This window comes from Homo sapiens, chromosome 3 (assembly GCF_000001405.40).
Source record: "Homo sapiens chromosome 3, GRCh38.p14 Primary Assembly".
In the NCBI taxonomy this organism is placed as follows: domain Eukaryota; kingdom Metazoa; phylum Chordata; class Mammalia; order Primates; family Hominidae; genus Homo; species Homo sapiens.
This window is the reverse complement of record NC_000003.12, coordinates 93,973,227-93,997,418: the sequence shown is the minus strand read 5'-3', so window position 1 is coordinate 93,997,418 and position 24,192 is coordinate 93,973,227. Positions and strand designations below refer to the sequence as shown.

Here is a 24,192-nt window from a genome sequence, read left to right as displayed (position 1 = left end):
AGTTTTGCAACCTGTTAATTAATAAATGCCCTTCCACTATTTAGTAAGCATGATATCTTACTGCAATCATCAGTTTCCAGAAACAAATACATGTTATGCATTTCTCCCAATTCTTACCCTTTAGATCAGCAGCACCAGGGACCAGTTTTGCAGAAGACAATTTTTCCATGGACTGGAGGATAGAGGTGGTTTCAGGATGATTCAAGCACATTACATTTATTGTGCACTTTATTTCTATTATTATTACATTGTAATACATAATGAAATAATTATACAACTCACCATAATGTACAATCAGTGGGACCCCAAGCTTGTTTTCCTGCAACTAGATGGTCCCATCTGGGGGGGTGATGGGAGGCAGTGACAGATCATTAGGCATTAGATTCTCATAAGGAGCACATAACCTAGATCTCTTGCATGTGCAGTTCACATAGGGTTCATGGTCCTAAGAATCTAATGCCACCACTGATCTGACAGGGGGCAATGTTCAGGCAGTAATGTGAGTAATGGGGAGAGGATGTAAATACAGATGAAGCTTCGTTCACTGGCCTGCTGCTTACCTCCTGCTTTGTGGGCTGGTTCCTAAGAACCAGCCCACAGACAGATATTGGTCCACGGCCCCGGGGTTGGGGACTCACTTTAGATGCCTGACTGGTGATACATTCTAGGTGCCCAACAAAGTCACTAGCATAGATACTGCTATATTGTAGCACAAAGCATTAAATTAAGATTACCTGGCCGGGCTGGGCGTGGTGGCTCATGCCTGTAATCCCAGCACTCTTGGAGGCCAAGGCAGAAGAATAGCTTGAGGCTAGGCATTCCAGACCAGCTTGGGCAACATAGGGAGACCCCATCTCTACCAAAAAAAGACCTAATAAATTAAAAATTAAAAAAAAAAAAAGAAGACTAGCCAGCATTCAATGAGATACACTCAATGAGATGTAATATGTATGATATATATTCAATATTCAATGAGATGCAGTACGTATGATATAAAGCCGTTTAATGATATAGATTTAATTATAAAAATTACTTATATTGAAAAAAAGCATCAAGAGATTCAAAGAGAACTATGCTGGCTAACTATACCTCTCTTTCATCTAAGCATAGGCATGTGACTAACTTCTGGCCAGGAAAATGTAAGTAGAAGATGGGTATTCTTAAAAGCAGGGGCAGCTCATCTTTTTAAATTTTCCTTCCTATTGTCTAGAATACAGATACTATTCCCTCTTAGCAGATCAAAGGCATCAAGGAGCCTCTGCATCTCTGCATGTATTCAAATCTGAAACATAATAGTCTGGTCCCATTAAGACAGAGCCTATTCGCCACAAGAGTCACAAATATACTAAGAATATAAAGTAATGCAGTGCACAGTATCTGTACCAAATTAATAAGGAATAAAGCAACTTAACAAAATAAATAATTCAGAATAATTTAATAGAGTTCAGAAAGCACATAAATGTTTTCAGCTTACCTCCTTGGATTCCCTTTGCTGTTGCGGTTTTACCAGCATTATCAAGTCCCACCATCAAAAGAGTCACCTTTCTTAAAATAATAGAAATTTAAAAATCACTTTCTTTGTTAATTTAGTATTGAGGAAAAATAAATGCAAATTCATTAATTAAATCAACATTTAAGGAGCACCTATTAAGCACAAGAAAATCTGTTGGATGCTAGGGAGTACAATGATGAATAAAATATAGATTCAAAAGCAAATTCATGAAAAATACCTTTAAAGGATCATCCTTTTGTTCTCTAAGCAAATAAAGTAAAACTCTACAATAGATAATCCAAAGGACAGAGAATAAGGGAAAGAAGGAAGATGGAAAGGGAGGTAGGGAGACAATCTAACTCTGAGTTCTCTATCATGGCTAAAGACTCAATTTTCTAGTTTATTGAAAGCTAACAAATATCACCAATCTGTTTATCTTATGAAAGTACATAACTGTTTTTAAATATGTAGCATCTTACCAAATATAAATTTATATATAATAACATGATTATGAAGTGCTAACATTTTGAGAGAAGGATACTATAATTGTAAAGTTTAAAATATTTCTCATGATACAGCTAAACTCCACAGGGGGAAAAAAAAAACACCTAGTCAACTTAAAAACTGAAGAAACATAAGTCCAGATAAATTAAGTAATCTGGTCAAAGCTCACACAATGAATCAGTTACAGACTCAGAACCAGAACCTAATTCACCTAACTCGTAGGGATTTAAATGTGGGACAGGTATAAAGGAACAAACCTATTATACTGGTCCTAGTCCTGTTAACTTGGTGATTCTGTTTACCACTATATAGTCATTTCTTTTCTAGGTTGAACTCTGCACAATATAACAGGTGAGACAGTCCATTACCACCATGGATTTGGAAATGAAAACTGCCTTGGGAATACATAGAAAAAGAAGGCCACAGCTTAACACAGCTGCCATATTTAGACCATAGGGTATGGCCAATCTCCTATGGAGTATAGTTATTCCTCTTTAGTAATCATCCCATGGAGGGCTGAAAACAGAATTTAAATGGCCGTAAAGGGTGTCCTTTCATTTCTCTAGGCTTTGCTCTCTTGGATTTAGACTTGTAAATCCAAGAGATTTACAAAAAAAAAAAAATCAGGTGTACTTGAAGGGGCCATATAACAAAGACAGAAGACAGAGGTGAGAGTATGAGGCAGTCTAGCTATGGGTCACAAGCTGGGAAAGAACAAACTCAGTCTGGCAAAAGCCAAATTGATAATTTCTTAAATAAATAACCACTGACCATCTTCTATATACCAGACACCAGTGTTCTAGGTATTTGAGACACACTTGTTTATTACAGCAACCACTATCATAATAAAACAAACAAAAACAGATAAAGAAACTCTTCCTTATTAAGCTTACATTTTAGAGACAAAAGACAGACACTAATAATACGATAAATTATTATGTAAATTTTATAGTACATTATAAGGTGATTAGGTACTACGGGGAAAAAAACAGAGTAGAGCAGGGTACAAGGGATCAAGGTTGGGGGTGGGAGGTGGGGGCAGTTTTATATAGGGTGGTCAAGGCAGACCTTATTCAGAAGGTAAAATCTGAGGAAAGACTTGAAGGAGAGAGTGAGTCATGCATATATTCGGGGCAAGAGAGAACAGCTGCTGCAAAGACACTTAGGTACAGAAATGCAGGAAGGTCCAAGAATCAGCAAGGAAGCCACTGTGATGAAACCAAGTGAGAAAGGAGCAGAATAGGAAGACAGGAAGTCAGAGACACATCAGAGACCAGTTCATGTTAGACCATAGGCCATTGTGAGGATTCTGACTTCTACTATGAGTAAAACGAATTCCATGTTAATTTCCTCTGTTATCTAGAAGCCTTTATCTTTTCTAGATGTTTCAACCATCCCATACCTAGCATGGGAAATAAACAGAAGCTGTGTCTATACTTGACTCAGTGCAAGAATAAGGTAAATCACAATAAGCAGCACTCCAGGGCCCCATTCTCAATTGGCTGGTGGCGAAGCCAGTGGGAATGCCACAAAGACCCACAGCAGATTATAGATTTATGGAGAAGAGGTAGTGGGCAAGGTCTAGGAACCTCTATCCATCTGGAAATGTACCTGCTTTATCAACTATGAAAAATATGAATTTACTTCCTAAGGAAGCTGCAAGATACTAAGAATATAATTTTATTATTTTGTTTTAAGAATTCATAATTATGAATTAATTCATAGAACTATCAAATATCAAAGAACAAGATTTAAGTACAAAATAACTTCCAAAACAAAATATAGTAAATGACTATCCAGAGAAGATGGATAACGTAGCATTTAAAATGAGTAGCTTAGCAAAGCACGGAGGCACATCCCTGTAGTCCCAGCCACTCCGGAGGCTGAGACAGGAGGACTGCTTGAGCCTGGCAGGTCAAGGCTGTAGTGAGCCATGATTGTGTCACTGCACTGAAGCCTGGGCAACACAGTAAGACCCTGTCTCAAAAATAAAACAGGCCAAGTGTGGTGGCTCACGCCTGTAATCCCAGCACTTTGGGAGGCTGAGGTGGGCAGATCACTTTGAGCTCAGGAGTTCGAGACCAGCCTGAGAAACATGGCAAAACCCCACCTCTACTAAAAATACAAAAATTAGCTGGGCATGGTGGCACACACCTGTAATCCCAGCTACTCAGGAGGCTGAGGCTGGAGAATCGCTTGAACGCAGGAGGCAGAGGTTGCAATGAGCCGAGATCACGCCCCTGCACCCCAGTCTGGGCAACAGAGCAGGACTGTATCTCAAAAATAAAATAAAATAATAAATAAAATAAAACAAGCCAGGTCAGGCCTGGTGGTTCATTCCTGTAATCTCAGCACTTTGGGAGGCTGAGGAGGGCCGATCACTCGAGCTCAGGCGTTCGAGACTAGCCTGGACGACACGGTGAAATCCCATCACTACAAAAAAAAAAAAAAAAAATACAAAAATTAGCAGGCATGGCAGCGCACGCCTGTAGTCCCAGCTACCTGGGAGGCTGAGCTGCGAGAATCGATTGAACCTGGGAGGTAGAGGTTGTAGTGAGACAAGATCGTACCACTTGTACTCCAGCCTGGGCAACAGAGTGAGATGCTGTCTCAAAAAATAAAATAAAACACAATGATAAAATAAATATTTTAGATAATTCAAGTTACTAGAGATATAATGAATTGGACTAAAGTAATGCTAATATTAAAGCTAACTCAATTGTTCTTTATGTATACAATGCATTTCAAGATCTACAGTGCTTTAAACATTGCCATGAACGAAAGCGATTACTTTTGGGGAATAAATCTCTGTTTTCTACTAGTTTACATCATTTATTCCATAAATATTAAGCACCCATTACATAGTAGCAAACAAATATCCACAATTCTTAGGCCTCATAAACCTTAGAGCCTAGCAAGAAAAAAGGCACTGGAGAGGTAATTACAGTAACATGAGATAACTGTTATAAATTAGGGGAAGCAGTGGGCAGTCATAAGGATAGACAGCAGGCTACAGAGCCCACTCTGGAAGTCAGAGAAGACAATACCACAAATAAACAAACAAGCATCAACTGAGTCGGCAGTTCCTGGAAACATCACGAAAACTTTTCACATCCCTTATGAGTCAAAGTAAAAATTCCCTGATCCACCTTTTCATGAAAAATAACTCCTTGTTCTCTATTATATAGAGCACCTCACGTTTTTCTCCATTCTTGTCAAGATTTCAGTTTTTTAAAAAAACAAACATCTAAATACATATATACTATGCATTTTGAAACACTGTTCCTAAAGCCACCAAGAAAATTAGCTTTTACCTTAAGAGTCTGTCTTTATTTATAGGCTATTAGGCTCAAACAAACAAAAATGTCCTTCAAAGAAGAAAATCACTTTAGAGAATTATAATAGTGTTGAGACTGGCATAAAATAATTCTATTTCTATTTTCACTTTTACTACCTTTGCAACTAGTTAATGTTTAAGACTATGTCCTATTCTTGAAAAAAGGCTTTAATTAAATGTTTTAGGGAATTAAAGCATTACTGAATAAACATAACTAACAAGGAGTACAAATAAAAATCACAGCATGGATTACTGCAAAGCCTGATAACAAAGCATTAAATTTATACTTTCAGGATAGAATGCAATTAAAAGGTTAACATTCACCTAAAACTCAAACTTCTATAAAGAGGTTATAATTTATTTAACCAAGTTTATAATGTACACGTGGCTATAGCTTTTTAAAATATGATAAATTGGACGGACATGGTGGCTCACACCTGTAGTCCCAGCACTCTGCGGGGCTGAAGCAGGAGGATCACTTAAGCCCAAGACCAGCTTGGGCAACATAATGAGACTCTGTCTCCACAACAACTTTTTTAAAAAATTAGCTGGGAATGGTGATGTGTGCCTACAGTCCTGGCTACTCGGAAGGCTGAGGTGGGAGGATCACTTGAGCCCATTGAAGCTGCAGTGAGCCATGACTGCACCACTGCACTGAAGCCTGGGCAACAGAATGAGACCCTGTCATCCATTCATTAATTCATTCGTACATGCATGCACACATACATACAAAAATATGGTAAATTATTATTGGGAACAGTTTGGCTGTGGTGCTGTATGACAACAGAAAGATCAAAGATTGCCAATATCTTTTAGTTTGATGATTATTTGATCAAATACATTAGCCCTTCAAATTGAAAAAATAATATACAGTACTCTTAGGTTTACAGTGTCTATAAAAGTTGACACTAGCAATAAAATCAATCATTTAATCATTTGGTCAGATGGTAATACAATTAAAGTACGTTAAGCATTGTGGACACAAAAATGCCTCAGACATCTTTTCTGTCCTGAAGTGCTCAACCTCTAGTGACAGTGACTAAAACATAAATACAAATACATTCTGACACTATGAAAGTTTAAAATGTTTAGCTATATATGTAAGATGATAATGGGATACCAAACAAGGGGACTTTATCCAGCCCAAAGTTAGGGCAGAAGGTCAGAGAAGCTTCTTAAGGTAATGCCTAACCTAAGTTCTTAAAGTGAGAAGTTAGTCAAGCAAGGGAAAGGTAAAAACAGAAGGAAGATGAAGGGATTCCAGACTGAGAACACTGCACGAGAAAATACCAATCACATTATGAGTTGATAAACAAGGGGTTAAGAGCATATCTCAGCATAGCAGCCTTAAGCAAAAGAAGAACATAGTCACAACTCAATACAACAATGTAGTGAGTCTAAAGGGAACTTGATATACTTCTACTTAAGGAACCAGTAAATGAGCATCCCTAGTCCAAAAATCTGGAATCTGAAATGCTCCAAAATCCTAAACTTTTTAAGCACCAACATGACACCACGGTGGAAAATTCCACACGTGACCTCATGTGACAGGCTGCAATCAAAACTTTGTTATATGCACAAAATTATTTAAAATATTTTATAAAATTACCTTCAGGCTATTGTATATACAACATAAATGAAATTCGTGTTTAGGCTTGGAGGCCATTCCCAAGATACTTCACTATATATATATATGCAAATATTCCAAAATCAAAAAAAAATTAAAAATTTGAGAAATTTTAGGTCCCAAGCATTTCAGCTAAGAGATACTCAAACTGGGCCAGGCACGGTGGCTCATGCCTGTAATCTCAGCACTTTGGGATGCCAACGCAGGTGGATCACTTGAGGTCAGGAATTTGAGACCAGCCTGGCCCACATGGTGAAACTCCATCTCTACTAAAAATACAAAAAAAATTAGCCAGGCTTGGTGGCGCCCACCTGCAATCCCAGCTACTCAGAAGGCTGAGACAGGAGAATCACTTGAACCCAGGAGGTGGAGGTTGCCGTGAGCTGAGATCGTGCCATTGCACTCCAGCCTGGGCGACAGAGGGAGACTTCGTCTCAAACAAAACAAAACAAAACAAAACAAAAAAAAGAGATACTCAAACTGTATTATCAAATAATTAATGATGTAACCTTTCCAGAAGTTGAAAGTGAGCCGCTTACTCCTAATATTATAGTCATCCCTGGGTCTTTGATTACTAGAAAGGCTGAGATACAAAGGACTCTGTAGTATTATAAGATTTACAGTATGTTATACTAGTAATAAGTAACATAAGAGGTATTATGGGTACTCTGAAATGTAGCCACAAATTTGGTGTTAGAGACCTGAGTTCAAGTGCCAGATTTGCCATTTCTAAGCTATATGGCACATTACTTTTCAGAATTTCATGAATGAAATAGGATAATAACAATAGCTACTCTAAAGGGATATAATGAAAATTAAATAAGGTTTCAATGAGCTGGGATCATGCCACTGCAGTCTAGCCTGGGTTGACAGCATGAGGCTGTTTAAAAAAAAAAAAAAAAATTAACCATAGCATTTTTCTGCTTAAAATCCTTATAGAGAATCAAGTCTCAATTTGGCAGCCCCCACTTCTGCCACTCCCAGGAAGCCTGCCATGCCGAGGATTCCTTCCATGCCGAGTACTCCTTCAGCCCTTCACAACCATCCCCGGCTACTTTTTATACAGGCTCCTCTACCAGAACTTCTCTTTATCAGCTCTGTAGTGCCTGTATCAAATGTGTTGGGCACACAGTAGGCTTCTTTACTGAAAGAAACAACAAACATTTTCTGAACCCCATTTGCTGAGTAAATACTAAGTAAAATTAAAATACATAACTTTAGATTGAGAAAGTACTATAATGAAGCTAATTTATATAAATCTTCACATCAAAATAGTTCATATTAAAGAATGTAATTATATCCATATATATCAAATTGGCTGAAGTTTTCTGAAAAAGCTTACATGCTCATGGTTTCAAGGTACTAATTAACAGAAAGACTTTCAAAACTGAAATAGGGGTCTCAGCAGCTCGGGCAGCGGGAGGAGTGCCAGTAGCCAGGCAGCCCAGCTTCGCGAAGGCTCTCAGCTCCGTGGCCCACAGGTGCCCAGCAAGTGCCCCTCCTGCCGCCAAGATGCCCAAGAGGAAGGTCAGTTCAGCCGAAGGGGTGGCGAAGCAAGAGCCCAAGAGGAGATCTGCGCACTTGTCAGCTAAACCTGCTCCTGCAAAAGTGGAAATGAAGCCAAAGAGGCATCAGGAAAGGCTAAATCTTCAGATTAAAAAAAAAAAAAAAATGCAAACAAATGGGAAAAGGGGAGCATAGGGAAAACAGGCCAAAGTGGCTAACCAAGAAACTAAATAAGATTTACCTGCAGAAAACGAAGAAACTAAAACCGAGGAGACTCCAACCTTTGATGAAGCAGGAGAGAAAGAAGCCAAGTCTGATTAATATCATATACCATGTCTTATCAGTAGTCCCTGTCTCCCTTCTTGTACAATCCAGGGTATTTTTATCAACTGCTTTGTAAGTGCAAGTCTTTTAGTAGCTCTAGAAACATTTTAAGTAGCAGGAACTCCCACCTCATTCCATTGTTAAGTTTTTTCTGAGGTGAAATAATTCTCTGGTTGTTTATTTTTTGGTGAAACCAGAGAATAGTATGGGATATTGAATTACAGGAAGTTTTGACTGTCTTGGATGTCAGCTTAACATTCCACAGATGGGGGCTTAGTTTTTATATACTGTAATACAAAATATACTAAATGGCAATACAGAGTCAGAATCCTGCATTTAATGTCTTGAACATTTTAAATTACTTCTATTGCCATGTTTTTTTTTTTTTTTCACAGAATTGTTTCCTAAAGAAAACCACTCCTTGATCATGGCTCTCCCTGTCAGAACTGTGTACACTATAACATCTTTGGTCACAGAAGTCCTGATTTCCTAATAACTGTGTTAATGTGCTGTGAAAGATTGAAAATTTGGGTATATAGTGTACATGCTATTAAACTGTGAATTGGTAGAACGTGTACAGCTTATCAAACACTTGTAGATACTGGCTCTTGATAATCCTCTTAAGAAAAATTTGCCTCCAAATGTTAAGTTGGAATGTCACTATAATAACTATTTAAAAAAGAGGCCGGGTGCAGTGGTTCACACCTATAATCACAGCACTTTGGGTGGCCAAGGTGGGAGAATTACTTGAGCCCAGGAGATTGAGACATGCCTGGTCAACATGGTGAGACCTTGTCTCTACAAATTAAAAAAAAAAATTAGCCAGGCATCGTGGCATGCACCTCCCAGTTACTTGGGAGGCTGAAGTGGGAGGATCGGTTGAGCCCGGGCAGTCAAGGCTGCAGTGAGCCGTGATCACTCCTCTGCACTCCAGCCTAGGCAATAGAGAGAGACCGTTTCAGAAAAAGGAATTACAATAGAGGTTTTCTAGATTTTTGGTATGTATGTTAAGAATTGTGTACAATTTGAAATGTCTGTATACTTATTCTCAACACGACAAATAAAATCTCCATTACAAAAGAAAAAACTGAAATAATTCTTAGTAAAAACAAAAAAAAATCAAAGGTAGAGATTAAGGGATCCAAAGGTCTGTTTTACATCACTTTAGCTATCTGCCGAAACAAGTGAAGACTTCCATACTCCAGAAGCTAATAATTAATATTGTTCAAGTCAACACAATGTATATAATAGATCTCCTAAGTGAGAATATGAGAATATCTTATCTCAGAATTCCTTTTTATATAACGGATATACAAATTAATATATCAGAAATACTGGTCAGGCACAATGGCTTATGCCTGTAATCCCAGTACTTTGGGAGGCCAAGACAGGAGGACTGTTTGAGCCCAGGAGTTTGAGACCAACCTGGGCAATATGGTGAGATCCTGTCTCTATTTAAAAAAAAAAAAAATCAGAAATATAAGCATCATGGCATTAGGGAGGATTGAACTTAGAAAACATTTAAATTCTGAATCTTTCCTGAATGACATTATCACAATCATTTGAACACCTACAAGTCTAAACTTCCTCATCTTTTAACTAAGGAAGACAATACTTTCAATATGATAATTAGATAAAAGCTATTCCTTTTTTTTTAGAGACGGAGTCTCATTCTGTCACCCAGGCTGGAGTGTGCAGTGGCGAGATCTCCACTCACTGCAACCTCTGCCTCCTGGGTGCAAGCAATTCTCCTGCCTCAGCCTCCCAAGTAGCTGGGATTACAGGAGTCTGCCACCATGCCTGGCTAATTTTTTGTATTTTTAGTAGAGACAGGGTTTCACTATGTTGGCCAGGCTCATCTCGAACTCCTGACCTCAACTGATCCATCCACCACGGCCACCCAAAGTGCAGGGATTACAGGTGCGAGCCATCATGCCTGGCCCATAAAAGCTGTTTCTAACTTCAAAAATATTATGCAAGTCAAAGAAAACATTTCGCTAAAAACACTAAAATCAAAGTTTGACACATCGGAACTCTATTATCTACAGTATTTAAAACTACATGAAGCAAATTCTAAATTTTAACATAAACATAAATTCTAAAAGTAACAAATACATATACAAAAAAAGACTTTAGAACAAGGTTTTATGATACATATGTGAGAATTTTAAAAAATCACTATACGACAAATTGATAGAAAGAAAAAAATGTATCGAAAAAACAGTGTGATTTTATTGCAGTACACTATTTTCTGACATTTCAATTCAGATCTAGAACCCCATATTACAGCAAAATCATTATCTAAATTTACTGAGTATGAATAAATAGTGAGAAGGCCAAGCTTGGGTTTATAGCCTGCTTTTAAGCCCTGATCAAGTCAAATTCTTAGTGTCCATTTTTTCATCTCTAAAATATAAGGGGGTAAAATAAGAATGTCTCTAGGTCCTTTTCTATATTAAAATTCTAAAATTCTTACTATGCATAATCAAGAAGAACTAGGGGGATAAAAAGAGATGTAAAATATTCCAGTTCAGCATACAGCACAATAGATAATCCTTGCTAATCTGTACATACAGCTTAATTGGAAAATTAAGAACTCAGCAATTTCTATAAATGGTCTAGATTTACAGTTATATTTATTTAGGCCAAGAATGATGGTATTAGGGAGCTAAGTATTCCCTCAGTGAAAAAGTTCATAGCAAAGAGGACAAAACAGACCACTAGAAACATTGTGTACTGTATCTTATTTTAGACTTGGCCACAGCAAACAATTTACTAATAAATTTGAAGTAAAGCTTTGATAGGTTGTATTTGTGATGCTGAAAAAACACAGATGGACAAGAAATCAGTTCCAATTAAAGGTTAACTCTGTGGAAGAATGGTGGGAGATGAATAGGGGGCAGGAAGTTTCAAGGATTTGTTACCTACTTATTAAAATAAAATTGAAATATGATGACTAAAGATTAATATTTATAAAACCTGGCAGGCATATGGTACTTATTATATCTTTCTTTTTGGTTAAATAACAGTAAAAACATTTTTGTTAGTTATGTATGCATAATATATAAGAAGTTATATAACATGTATATTTTCATATAAACAAAGAATTTTGTTGCCAAAATTTGTATGCAAAATTTGTTGCATGAATTTCTTCAAGACCCAGGTAAAATTACACCCCTTCTAAAATCCTCTTTCCTGATTCTCATTAAAAATCTTAAAAATCATATTTCAACTCTTGCATATTCGATCATTATATTTTACATGCACTATTTCATCACCTAGATGCTATGTTATAAATAACAGGAGCTCAAAATCTGTAGATGAGAATGTGTAAGGGTTAGAATCTGCTATAAGGCCCAGAGATTTACTGAGCATCATAGCTTCACAGACCTTGTGTCCTGTACTCAGGATGAAGGCTGCTCCCTATAAGCTAAATAGATTGCAATAGATTAACAGTTTTTAATGTTAAAAATGAAAATATAAAACTACAAGAAAAAAGTATATGTGAATGTAATCTTGTAATGCTGATGAACTTTCTAAACATTACACTGAAACAGTAATATATTTGAATTTAAAATTTTTATTTAGTCTTATTGATTGATTGATTGATTGATTGATTGAGACAGGGTTTCACTTTGTCACCCAGGCTAGGCTGCAGTGGGGCAACCTGGGCTTACTGCAGCCTCCACCTCTTGGGCTCAAGCGATCCTCCTGCCTCAGCCCCCCAAGTAGCTCGGACTACAGGCACATGCCACTACTTCTGGCTAATTTTTTAAAACATTTTTGTACGGATGGGGTCTCACTATATTGCCCAGGCTGATCTCAAACTCCTAGGCTCAAGCGATCTTCCCAAGTGCTAGGATTACAGGTGTGAGCCACCACACCCAGCCTGAATTCAAACATTTTAAATGTTTATATTTAAAAAGCACAAAAAGTTGAAAATATAACAAATGGAAAGAAAATACTTGCAATATTATACAACTGATCCTTGAACAACACACGTTTGAACTGCACAGTTCTACTTACACACAAATTTGTTTTTAATGAAAGTTACACGTGTGCCTTCCTCTCCTGCCTCCTCTGCCTCCCCAGCCTCCATTTCCACCTCTTCTGCCTCTGAAACCTTCCTGAGACAGTAAGACCAACCCCTCTTCCTCTTTCTCCTCAGCCTACTCAATGGGAAGAAGATGAGGATGGAGACTTTTATGATGATCCACTTCCACTTAATAAATAGTCAATGTATTTTTTTCTTCTTTTTAATTTTTTTTTTTTTAGACAAGAGTCTTGCTCTGTCGCCCAGGCTGGAGTGCAGTGGCATGATCTCAGCTCACTGCAACCTCTGTCTCCCAGGTTCAAGTGATTCTCCTGCCTCAGCCTCCCAAGTAGCTGGTATTGCAGGTGCCCACCACCACACCCAGCTAATTTCTGTATTTTTAGTAGAGACAGGGTTTCGCCATGTTGGCCAGGCTGGTCTTGAACTTTTGACCTCAAGTGATCTGCCCACCTCAGCCTCCCAAAGTGCTGGGACTACAGGCGTGAGCCACCGTGCTCCGCCCCTTATGACTTTCTTAACATTTCCTTTCCTCTAACTTTAAGAATACAATAAATTATACATATAACATAAAAAATATGTGGTAACTGACTATTCATGTTATCAGTAAGGCTTCTAGTCAACAGGAGGCTATTAGTAATTAAGTTTTTTGGAAGTCAAAAGTTATATGTGGATTTCTGTCTGTGCTGGCAAGGCAGGGTTCAGTGCTCCTAAACCCTGCGTTGTTCAAGTGTCAATTGTACTACAGAGAAACAGTAGCTACGACAAACACTTAAAATTTCTTTTTAAAAATTCATTAAGAAAACACACCTGCCCCAATAGAAAAAACACAACAGTAATCAATGGACAACTGCTGAGAGAAACAAAAATGCGCAAGGAAAAAAAGTTAATCTTCCTAGTAATAAAAACAAAACAAAACAAAAAAAACCCCAGAAACTCAAAGCAGAAAGCAGGTTCCCCTATAATGTGAAGGAGATGAAAAACCGATGACTCTTGATTTTCTCAGTGAAAAAGGCACTCCAACGTACTGTTGGTAGGAGTAGAAACTGTGTTTTCTCTTTTTTAATCCTTTCTGAGGAGCAATTTGGTAACATATTTTTAAAAGATAAACTTAGGAACAATAAAATTTCAAGAGTTTATTTCCACATTCATTGATTCATGAATGGAGCCGTACCAAACTGAACCAAAATTCATGAATGGGGCCATACCAAACCCCAAATAAGTGGGGTTCAGTACTCCACTAAGGGGGATGAAGCGTTAAACTTTTATAAGATCTTGACTGCTGACCTAGACTGGTGCCTTAACACTTGATCTCTGACTCCTGCCTTGTCCTTATCACACAAATCTAATCCCTGATTCCAATGTCTGGAATAATATGCTCACTAGGAAAGGATCTAAGTGAGGAGAGGTGAACAAATACAATGGGTACTGGGGTACAGAATGTATTAAACAAATCTGCAAAGTAATCTCAAATATAGTATATTAATAACCATCATCATCTCTTTTACAAATTCACTCCTCACATTTCATCTTCATAAAATATAAACATGAAGAGGAATCTTAATAAGAAATTCTACAGAAAACAAATATATACATAATAATCAAACAGGCAATTTCTGTTGAAAAAATAGAGAACACCATAAAAGCACAAAATTTTGTTTTTAAAATTAGCTTGCTCACCTCTCATTTATTCCAGTAAAATAAATGGAACTACTTGCTAATGTTATTTACTTCAGGATGATTATTACTAAGAAAAATCGAACTACATACAATATTTGGCAAATATTTATTCAGCCACTATTATAAATCAGGCATTGAACAAGGGGACTTAGAAGACAGGGGTAATCCAACTTGTGTTCAAATTCTTTGACAGTTATCCAAATTGAGATGTTTACCTATGTCCTTTATATTAGGCTATGATCCAGAGCAGTAAGATCCAACAGAAATGTTAACATAAGCAACATATACATTGAAATTCTCTAGTAATCTCATTTTTTAAAAAGTAAAAAAAAGTTAATTCTAATATATTATTTAACCTAGCATATGCAAAAGTTATCATTTCAACATGTAATCATACTTTTAAAAGACTGATAAGATGCTGACTTTTTTGCATAATAAATCTTTTTTCAAAGCCCACTATGTATTAAACATACACTTACAGCATCTTAATTCAGACTAGCCACATTTCAAGTGCTCAACAGCCACGTGTAGCTCGTTGTTACCCTACTGGACAGGACAAATCTAGATGGTGCTTATTAAAGAAGAAAATACACTCTGGGTTATGCAGCTAAATTTTAATAATGCTTTATTAAGAAAATTCAATTATCTGTTCTACTTGGAAATCAATACATTCTCCTTTCTCTGAACTCTTCTCTTTAAACAAATCATTCCAGAGAGTATATATACAAAAGCTGCTAAGAAAAGGAAAGACTAAGAATGATGAATTAAATTGAACACTCCTTCTTCGAATTACACGTTTTCACTGTTTCTCGTTAAAAGAACGTAAGTTATATACATGCCTTCACAGAAACCAAATACATTTCTTAAAAGCAGACACGGAGGAAAATGAGGGGTCAACTATTATGAATGACCCTCAAGTCTTAGTAGATACTGTGAAATTAGACCAGAATATAATTAAAGCAAATAAATCAGAATCTATGCACCTAAAACAACTCTTTGACTTTTTTCTTTTTTTTTTTTTTTTTTTTTTTTGAGACAGGGTTGCACTGTGTCACTCAGGGAGTGCAGCGATATCGGCTCACTGCAACCTCCGCCTCCCAGGCTCAAGTGATCCTACTGATTCAGCCTCCGAAGTAGCTTGGACTACAGGCGTGCGTCACCGTGCCCGTTTATTTTATTGTAGAAACGGGGTTTCGCCATATTGACCAGGCTGGTCTCGAACTCCAGGGCTCCAAAGATCGGCCAGCTTCGGCCTCCCAAAGTGCTGGGATTACAGGCGTGAGCCACCACACCCAGCCCATCTTTGACTTACAGAGTTGATCTTACTACTTATATTTAAAACATTCAAATTCAGTTAGGAGCTAATAATGGGGAAGAATCTCTAGTTTCATTTAAAGTTACTTTTTTTCCAATCTAGACATGTATTTTCTGTTATAATGTGTAAGTGTAGCTTTTCAGATTCATTCTTTAAAGGATAGTTCATTCTCATGGCAAATATACTTAAAATGTTAACAATTTAAAAAAAAAAACAACTTTGCTTTATCTTACCCTTGGCCCAATTCCAGACTAGAACTATGTGAAGTCAACATTATTTGTGTAACAAACACAAGATCTCTTTATAGGTTAGGCCTCAGTTTCAAAAGCATCAATTTCACTGATTATTTCCTAAGACAGTGCCTGGCACAAGGTATTGTCTTAATAAATATTTTTTGAATGAATGAATATCAAGTAACAGGTACTAATTATTAATACTTCCAGCATTTCAAAATGAAATGTTAAAAAGTGGACCCTTTCAATTAAAAGGTTTTACTAGAGACCGTATAAAAATTGGAAGCTACATTACAGTTAAGAAAACACTATCACTTGTTCTCATTGAATACAATATTTCTAAAGCAGAGTATTATCACTCTCATTTAATATTTAAGAAAGGTGGGGCCAAAATGGTTGAGTCATGTAATTATTAAGTAGTGGAGCCAGATTTCAAGCCCACGTCCTCAAATACAACTGTGTGGAGGTGTGACTTGGAATGGAATGTGCGGATATTATGAAAACTATATTCCATGTCCCCCTCTTTTTAAAAGAATTTCCATTACAAAAGCTTCAGAGGAAAAACACACAATGGATAGTTTTCAATTCCACACACACACACACACACACACACACACACACACTTTTTAACAAATTCAAACCTATTTAAAATATAACAACGGTAAGCATTGTCAATCGCAACAGAAAGTCGACCAGACAACAAGGCTACATCCTCCAATCTCTCCCTCCCGGGACACCCTGGGAATGAAAGCATCCCTTGCGGCCTGGGATAGACTCGTCCAGGCGCGGGGAAAAGGCGGCGCCTCGCCCCTGGGGCGCAGCCATCTCCAACCCCTAGGACGGCCAGGACAGCTGGCTCCAGCCTACCTGACAGGCTCCCGCCACCGCTTGAACCAGCCGCAGCAACTGGCCATCAGACTGAACATCCCGGGTCGCTCCTCCCACCACTTCCCATCCGAGCCCGGAGCGGACACCGGCACCCCGCTCTTCCCCGGGGGCCTCCGGCACTCCGAGACGCCCCTAAAGTGGATAAGTCGGGAGGAAAAGCCGGGAGGGAAGTGAAGGCGGCCGGCCCGAGCACTAAGCCTTGCTAACCGCGTGGGTCCGCGACGACTGCCCTCTTAGCCAAGGAACAACCTGACCAAAGACGCAGATACACCGTAGCCGAGTTAGCGGGACCCGGCTAAAGAAAAGCCCCGCGTCGACGTGCTGACGTTACTTCGAGGCGCGGAAGGCGTTCCCCAGGCAACGCCCGTACTGCGCTCGCCCAATCATCGGTTGAGGTCCTGAGGTAGAGGCCTCTGAGTGGCTGAAGAGTCCTGGCTACCCGCCCCTGCGCGAGACTAGGAAAAGAGAAAGGGGAGTACTCTATAAGAAGGAGGCGGAGCTCGAGGTAGCTCGTTCTCGTAACTAGGCAACCGGAGCGTCCGGAGATAAGCTGGAGGATCCGGGACAAATCTCCAGCAAGGCCTATCTTTATACCTACATAAAATGTGTTGCCAATCCACGGTGCTGTTCCTTTCCTTTCTCCAGTGTCCCCAACTGAGATTCAGAGATCTCAGGTCTTGTGCATGGGTTTTTCTTTTTCTTTCTTTCTTTTTTCTTGTTTTTTGTTTGTTTGTTTTTTGCTCAGGGATGGGGACCCTCTAGAATTCTGGCCGACTTAGGCAGCATGACTACAGGAACAATACACTGGGGCAATTCTTGTAAGTTAAAGACAAGGGGGAAATTCGCTTGCTAAATTTTCTCAGTAGTTCAGATGAGAGTGAAGCCTTAATCTCTAAAACGTTTATTACTGTTACATATGTGAAACGGAATTGTATGATATTTGTTGTAGGGGGGATTGTGATTACAAAAGAAAAATGCATTTCTTGTAGAAAATGTGAAAAATACTAAAAAGAAACAAGATGAAGAAAATGAGATCTCACAGGAGCTCTCAAAGATAACCATTTGGGGCCGGGCGCGGTGGCTCACGCCTGTAATCCCAGCACTTTGTGAGGCCGAGGCGGGCGGATCACGAGGCCAGGTGATCTAGACCATCCTGGCTAACATGGTGAAACCCCGTCTCTAGTAAAAATACAAAAAAAAAAAAACAAAAAAAAACAAAAACGGGTGTGGTGGCACGCGCCTGTAGTCCCAGCTACGCTGGAGACTGAGGCAGGGGAATTGCTTGAACCCGGGAGGCGGAGGTTGCAGTGAGCCGAGATCGCGCCACTGCACTCCAGTCTGGGCAACAGAGCAAGACTCCGTCTCAAAAATAAATAAATAACCATTTTGATGTATGTTTGTTTCAGGATTTTTAGGTACATAAATTGCTGGCTATTTGGTATCTGCAAGATGAAGATTGTTATCTCTTGACTGTTTTGTAATAGTTTATTTTTTAAAGAGGTATGTAATATTTGCATTTCTTTTATATACTTTGGAGAAAAAGAAATGACAAGGACATTCCTGTAGGGAAAAAATTATGCACAATATGTAGGGATCTGTGTGTCCATTCATTTTCTACTTAAATAAATATTTTCAAATCCTGATGAAAGGATAGAAGGCACTGAGAATCCCAGTGTATTCGCGGGGAATATAATGATTTGAGACTAAGATACATATAGGTTTTAAATTAGTCTCTGTCCTTTACTAAATCATGTAACTTTTTTTGGTTTTGTTTTGTTTTGTTTGAGACAGAGTCTCCCTCTATCACCCAGGTTGGAGTACAGTGGCATGATCTCGATTCACTGCAACCTCCGCTTCCTGGGGTCAAGTGATCCTCCTTCCTCAGTCTCCCAAGTAGCTGGGACTAGAGACGTGCACCATCACGCCCAGCTGATTTTTGTATTTTTTGTAGAGACAGGGTTTCATCATGTTGCCCAGGCTGGTCTCAAACTCCTGGCCTCAAATGATCCGCCTGCCTCGGCCTCCCAAAAGTGCTGGGATTATAGACATGAGCCATGGCACCCAGCCTCATGTAATTTTAATTCAAATTTATATACATCTCATACAGCTTGCTATCTCCAAAATACTGTGCCTTATGGGGAACAAAGGGGGTGATACCTTTTCTTCTCATCATAACAGTCACAGCCAACACTCATATAACAAAAAGAATAGCAAGAGAAAAGCATAACAAATTTATTTAATCCAAGTTTTATGTGACATGGGAACCTTGCAAATGGAGATGCAAAGATGCAGGGAAGACTACCCATTTTTATACTTGGGTTCGATGAAGAATGAAAAACCCTGAAGAACTCTCATTGGTCAAAAAGGATATGACCTAATGAGAGCAGACTGTGTGGAGAAACTCAGCAAGGCCTGTCTGTTCAGATTCCTCTTGACCTGATTGTTCAGCATTCCTTCTTCCAGGGTATGGGGTAGGACCCTTTCTAGAATGGGAGTCTTAAGACGTACTATCAAACAATGCAAGTCAAAGAATTTATTTATGGGCAGGTCTTTCATGGAAAGGAAGAAGGTTAGAGTAATATTTTGGGGTTTGTGGCTGGCTTTGGGGAAAGGGGGTTGTGGTTTCTATAACTGCACCTGGAGAAAGAGGAATTATAGTTTCTATGGCTTGCATAGTGGGAGAATGAGGGGCAAGAGACGAGGAACAGAAGGTTAGAGACAGAAACTTTGCTTCTGAGGCCTTTATTCTGGGATATTTTCTTCTAAGCTCCAACAACCCTATCTATAACATGGAAATTAAAATACCTACTTTTCCAGGTTGCTAAGGTGATGAAATGAGAGAAATGAAGCTCAAGTGTAATTTCTGATAAATAATAGATAGCAAATTTTAAAGTTGGTGTCACCTGTCCCATAAACACTTATGGTATGTGTCCTCCTACCTCCAAATATCCATGGTGGGAGACAGGAGAGCAGGGCAGGATAAGACTGCAATGCTCCATTAACTCCAAGCCAATTTAGGACTGTTTCTGCTGACTCTACTTTCATGACTCACTTTCTTAAACTAGTGTCTTGCAAACCCTAAAGTTATATTGTTTGTATTCACTCTTTGATCCATTTACTATGATTGGGCTTCTGTCCCATCTAACTACTGAAAGCATATTTTTTGATATAACTTATATCTTCCTAATTACCAAATCGGTTTTCTTTTCTATTATTTAATATATATATAATATAGTTAACTTTTCTAAAACTGTTTCCTGCCTTGGTCTTTCACAGTTATGCACTGCACTACCCTACCCTGGTTCTCTTCTTCTTTGTTTTTTTAACTTATTATGGACCGCTTCATGAATTTGCATGTCATCCTTGTTCAGGGGCCATGCTAATCTTCTCTGTATCATTCCAATTGTTGTATATGTGCTGATGAAGTGAGCACAACCCCTGGTTCTCTTCTGATCTCCCAGGCCATTCCTCCTCTGGATTTCTATATGTAACTTCTAAGATATGACCTTACCCCTCTGCTTTTCTTTTTTAAAACATGTTGTCTTGATGGAATTTGATTATTATTTCTGTGACTGAAGGATCTCATGATGTGTATGTTTCTTGAGCATTTTTAGAACTATATTCAAGACTGTTTTTTCACAAATATATACTCAACACCAGTTTTGCAGTAAATCCTCATTTATCTTCATCCAGAGGTTCTTAGAAACTATAATTTTAAACAAAATAACATACAATAAAACCAATTTTACCACAGACAAATTGATATAAATCAATTAAGTTCCTGTGGCACATTTCTGGTCACAAAAACATCACCAAACTTCAAAATAAAGATGGAACCACTAGTAATAGTAAACATTGAAATAAATGTGAGCTATACATTAAGAAAGATGAATAACAACAAGTAAGATAATTATTTGTCCACTTATTCCAGTTCAGGATCATAGGTGGCATCTCAGGGTAAAAGGTGAGAACTAGCCCTTGACAGGACACCATTCCATCACAGGGTGCTCTCATACATGCCCACACTCACTTAGACTGGGACAGTTTAAACACACCAATTCACCTAACATCCACATCTTTCAGATGTGGGAGGAAAATGGAGTACCTGGAGAAAACCCATGCAGACGTGGGGAGAACATGCAAACTCCATACACACAGTGGCCTGGGCCAGTAGTTGATTTTATTTTTCTCAGCCATGTCATAATGAAACAATACTATTAAAGCATCTGCTCTACTTCATGCCTTCCCCATTTCTGCTAGTGATAACATTACCGAGCATTCCTGGTGCCAACATGCAGTCCCTTAGCAAAGCTGACTCTTAGTTTTTGAATATCTTAAGTGGTTTGGTAGCCATAAGTGCTGCTCACCATGTCTAGTTCTCTTTCCTTACAGGCACATGAAATAACAGTTATTCCCACCCTCTTCAAGTCAGGCATACCTCGTGCCTTGCTTTGTCTAATGAAATGTAAGTGGTATGTCACTTCTTGGTAAAAGTATTTAAGAGCTGGGGCACAATTCTCAATGTTCTCTCTTCTCTTGCAATGGTAATTGTAGAAGACTATGTTGACTTTGAGGGATTGTAAAATCAAAGCAGCATGAATTGCTGAGTTCACACATGGAAGATAGTTACTTGGAAAGTCATGCAGACTTGTAGTAGACTTCCAATGAGCAAGAAATAAACACTTCTTATCTAAAACACTGTAATTTTCTGGCTTTTTAGTGTGTAATCTGGTTTATTCTGAATGATGAAAAGAGTCATGCTGCTATGATTCTAGTTAACACTGTCATTTCAGGATAATTGTTGATATTTTGGCATAAATATTCCCAGGCACACACTGTTGACTTAAATAGAATGAAACGTTTATGTACCAGTCACTGTTTTAAGCACTAGTAATATAGTTGTGAACAAAACCTTTAAAAATTCCTGCTCTCATGAATCTTACATTTTACTGGTGAAGACAGATGAAGAAGTGGATAAGTAGACACTATGTTGGTAGAAGATGATATGGAGAAGTGTAACACTGGAAAAATGATGGGATTAAGATTATGAATGAGACTAGATTAAGAGTTAAATTTTGGACAGGTTTTAATTGTATATTAAGGTCTGTATCAAAACCAAACTTTGGCTAAATGAGATTACCAAGTGTCAATTCATATTGAGCTAAAGCCAGATATCACTTTCACAAAGTTAACTTCTGAGATTAATTAAAAACCCAGAATTTTATTGAAAGATGTATTGTCAAATTGTATATTAATAGATTCCAGATGGTTTTACAAAGTTTGACGTTACAGTGTAGGACACATAAATTTTCAGTGTTGACAATTATTACTGGCAATGTGATGCAAATTTGTGGTATTAAAAAGATATTCAGGCCAGGAGAAGTGGCTCACACCTGTAATCCCAAAGCTTTGGGAGGCCAAGGCAAGAGGATCACTTGAGGTCAGGAGTTCCAGACCAGTCTGGGCAACACAGCGATACCATCTCTACCAAAAAAAAAAAAAAAAAAAAAAAACAAATTAAAAAATTAGCCTGGCATAGTGGTGTGTGACTGTAGTCCTAGGTACTCAGGAGACTGAGGCAGGAGGATTGCTTGAGCTCAGAAGTTCGAGGCTGCAGTGAGCTATGATTGCACCACTGCACTCCAGTCTGGGCAACCTAGTGAGACCCTGTCTCGGATAAATAAATAAATAAATAAATAAGGCTAGGTGTGGTGGCTCACACCTGTAATCCCAGCACTTTGGGAGACCGAGGCAGGCAGATCACTCACGATCAGGAGTTCAGAACCAGCCTGGCCAACATGGTGAAACCCTGTCTCTACTAAAAATACAAAAAAACTAGCCAGGCATGGTGTCAGGCGCCTGTAATCCCACCTACTCAGGAGGCTGAGACAGGAGAATCACTTGAACCCGGGAGGTGGAGGTTGCAGTGAGCCGAAATTGCGCCACTGTTCTCCAGCCTGGGCGACAGAGTGAGACTCTGTCTCAAAAAAAAAAAAAATTTTTTTAAATTAATAAATAGGTAGATGTATAGATAGATATTCACTTTCAACTGAAGTCTTTATCGGAGCAAGATTTTTTTTAAGGTAGATTATTCTAATATTCCCTTCTTTTCTTCATGTTCTTTACATTATTTTTATGCCTGTATGGCATACAAGACCGAAAAAACATGTGGATGATCAAAATGACCCCATTTGCTTTTACTATCACCATAGTTCTTCCTAAAGTCCTCATTGACTTCCAGGTTTTGGTTAATATCTTCAGGGACAACTCAGTGTCTCACTGTTTCTGCTTCTGAACCTAGGGATCCTGTCCTCTTGAACCCTGGAAGTTGTCTTGACCAGTCAGAGAACTGCGTTCCCCACCCCTTCCCCTTTGGAAACGTCACACTGTGGAGGAAAAGCAGCAACTAGGGAGCTGGTGAAGAAGGATGTCTCAGCAGTGTTTACTAGGCCTCCAACACTAGAGCCCATCCCCCAGCTCCGAAAAGCTTCCTGGAAATGTCCTTGTTATCACTTCCCCTCTCGGGCTGGGCGCTGGGAGCGGGCGGTCTCCTCCGCCCCCGGCTGTTCCGCCGAGGCTCGCTGGGTCGCTGGCGCCGCCGCGCAGCACGGCTCAGACCGAGGCGCACAGGCTCGCAGCTCCGCGGCGCCTAGCGCTCCGGTCCCCGCCGCGACGCGCCACCGTCCCTGCCGGCGCCTCCGCGCGCTTCGAAATGAGGGTCCTGGGTGGGCGCTGCGGGGCGCTGCTGGCGTGTCTCCTCCTAGTGCTTCCCGTCTCAGAGGCAAACTGTGAGTAATCAATAGCGTCTCTTCTCCCTTCCCCAGCATTGTCGACTGAACTGCGTGCCCTGGTTGGTAGGATTTTCTTCTCTAGAGCTGCAGCCTCCTAGAAAGTTTCCAGTAAGTACCGACAGACACCCAGCGGATGGAAACAGCCGTGGATAGAGCAGGCAGTGCAATGGTGGGGCAGGATCACTATTTGCACAGTTGCGAGAATGTATTGCCTACAGGACAGATCTAAGAACCTAGATGACACTAAGTATCAATGGAGGGATGAGAACACCTGCCCATTTCCCTTCAAAGCTGAAGTTCCCAGTCAGAGAACTAGGATGAGCAGATTCTAGCTTATGAGTAGGGAAGAAAAGGTAACACACTGTGTCTTCCCTTTGTCCAAGCGCCTGCCCCCAACCTGCACCCGTCTCCTGAAACCTGCCTCCCTTTTGCAATTTCTGGACT

General features: G+C 39.2%; 2 protein-coding genes and 2 pseudogenes across 16 annotated transcripts in view, besides 2 other annotated features; 2 read left to right on the top strand and 2 right to left on the bottom strand.

The window, feature by feature from the left end:
• The window catches only part of ARL13B (ARF like GTPase 13B), a 75,524-nt gene extending 58,260 nt beyond the window's left edge, over positions 1-17,264 (bottom strand). For 4 of the 14 annotated variants that reach the window (NR_033427.2, NM_001174150.2, NM_182896.3 and 1 more), the window contains exons 1-2: positions 16,937-17,264; positions 1,475-1,545 (exon numbers count right to left, since the gene is read on the bottom strand). Coding sequence is in view for 10 of the 14 variants with exons in the window: in NM_001174150.2 (NP_001167621.1) it covers positions 1,475-1,545; positions 16,937-16,995 (130 nt within the window). In the remaining 4 variants the exon portion in view is untranslated. Of the gene's footprint in view, positions 1-117; positions 173-282; positions 340-734; positions 872-1,474; positions 1,546-8,707; positions 8,748-16,936 lie in introns of all 14 variants that reach the window. The other 10 variants (NM_001174151.2, NM_144996.4, NM_001437443.1 and 7 more) reach the window with 8 other exon arrangements.
• HMGN1P7 (high mobility group nucleosome binding domain 1 pseudogene 7) lies at positions 8,357-9,473 on the top strand (annotated as a pseudogene).
• Positions 17,097-17,226: an enhancer, noted in NCBI's record as "active region_20123". NCBI's record gives its function as "activates an Ori minimal core promoter by ATAC-STARR-seq in GM12878 lymphoblastoid cells {active_cell/tissue: GM12878}" and the evidence as "EXISTENCE:reporter gene assay evidence [ECO:0000049][PMID:35858748]".
• Positions 17,497-17,656: an enhancer, noted in NCBI's record as "active region_20122". NCBI's record gives its function as "activates an Ori minimal core promoter by ATAC-STARR-seq in GM12878 lymphoblastoid cells {active_cell/tissue: GM12878}" and the evidence as "EXISTENCE:reporter gene assay evidence [ECO:0000049][PMID:35858748]".
• On the bottom strand, positions 20,289-20,390 carry RNU6-511P (RNA, U6 small nuclear 511, pseudogene; annotated as a pseudogene).
• PROS1 (protein S) overlaps positions 23,523-24,192 on the top strand; it is a 100,846-nt gene continuing 100,176 nt past the window's right edge. For both annotated transcript variants that reach the window (NM_000313.4, NM_001314077.2), the window contains exon 1: positions 23,523-23,745. In NM_000313.4, coding sequence (NP_000304.2) covers positions 23,670-23,745 — 76 coding nt within the window. In that variant the 5' untranslated portion in view covers positions 23,523-23,669. The remainder of the gene's footprint in view (positions 23,746-24,192) is intronic.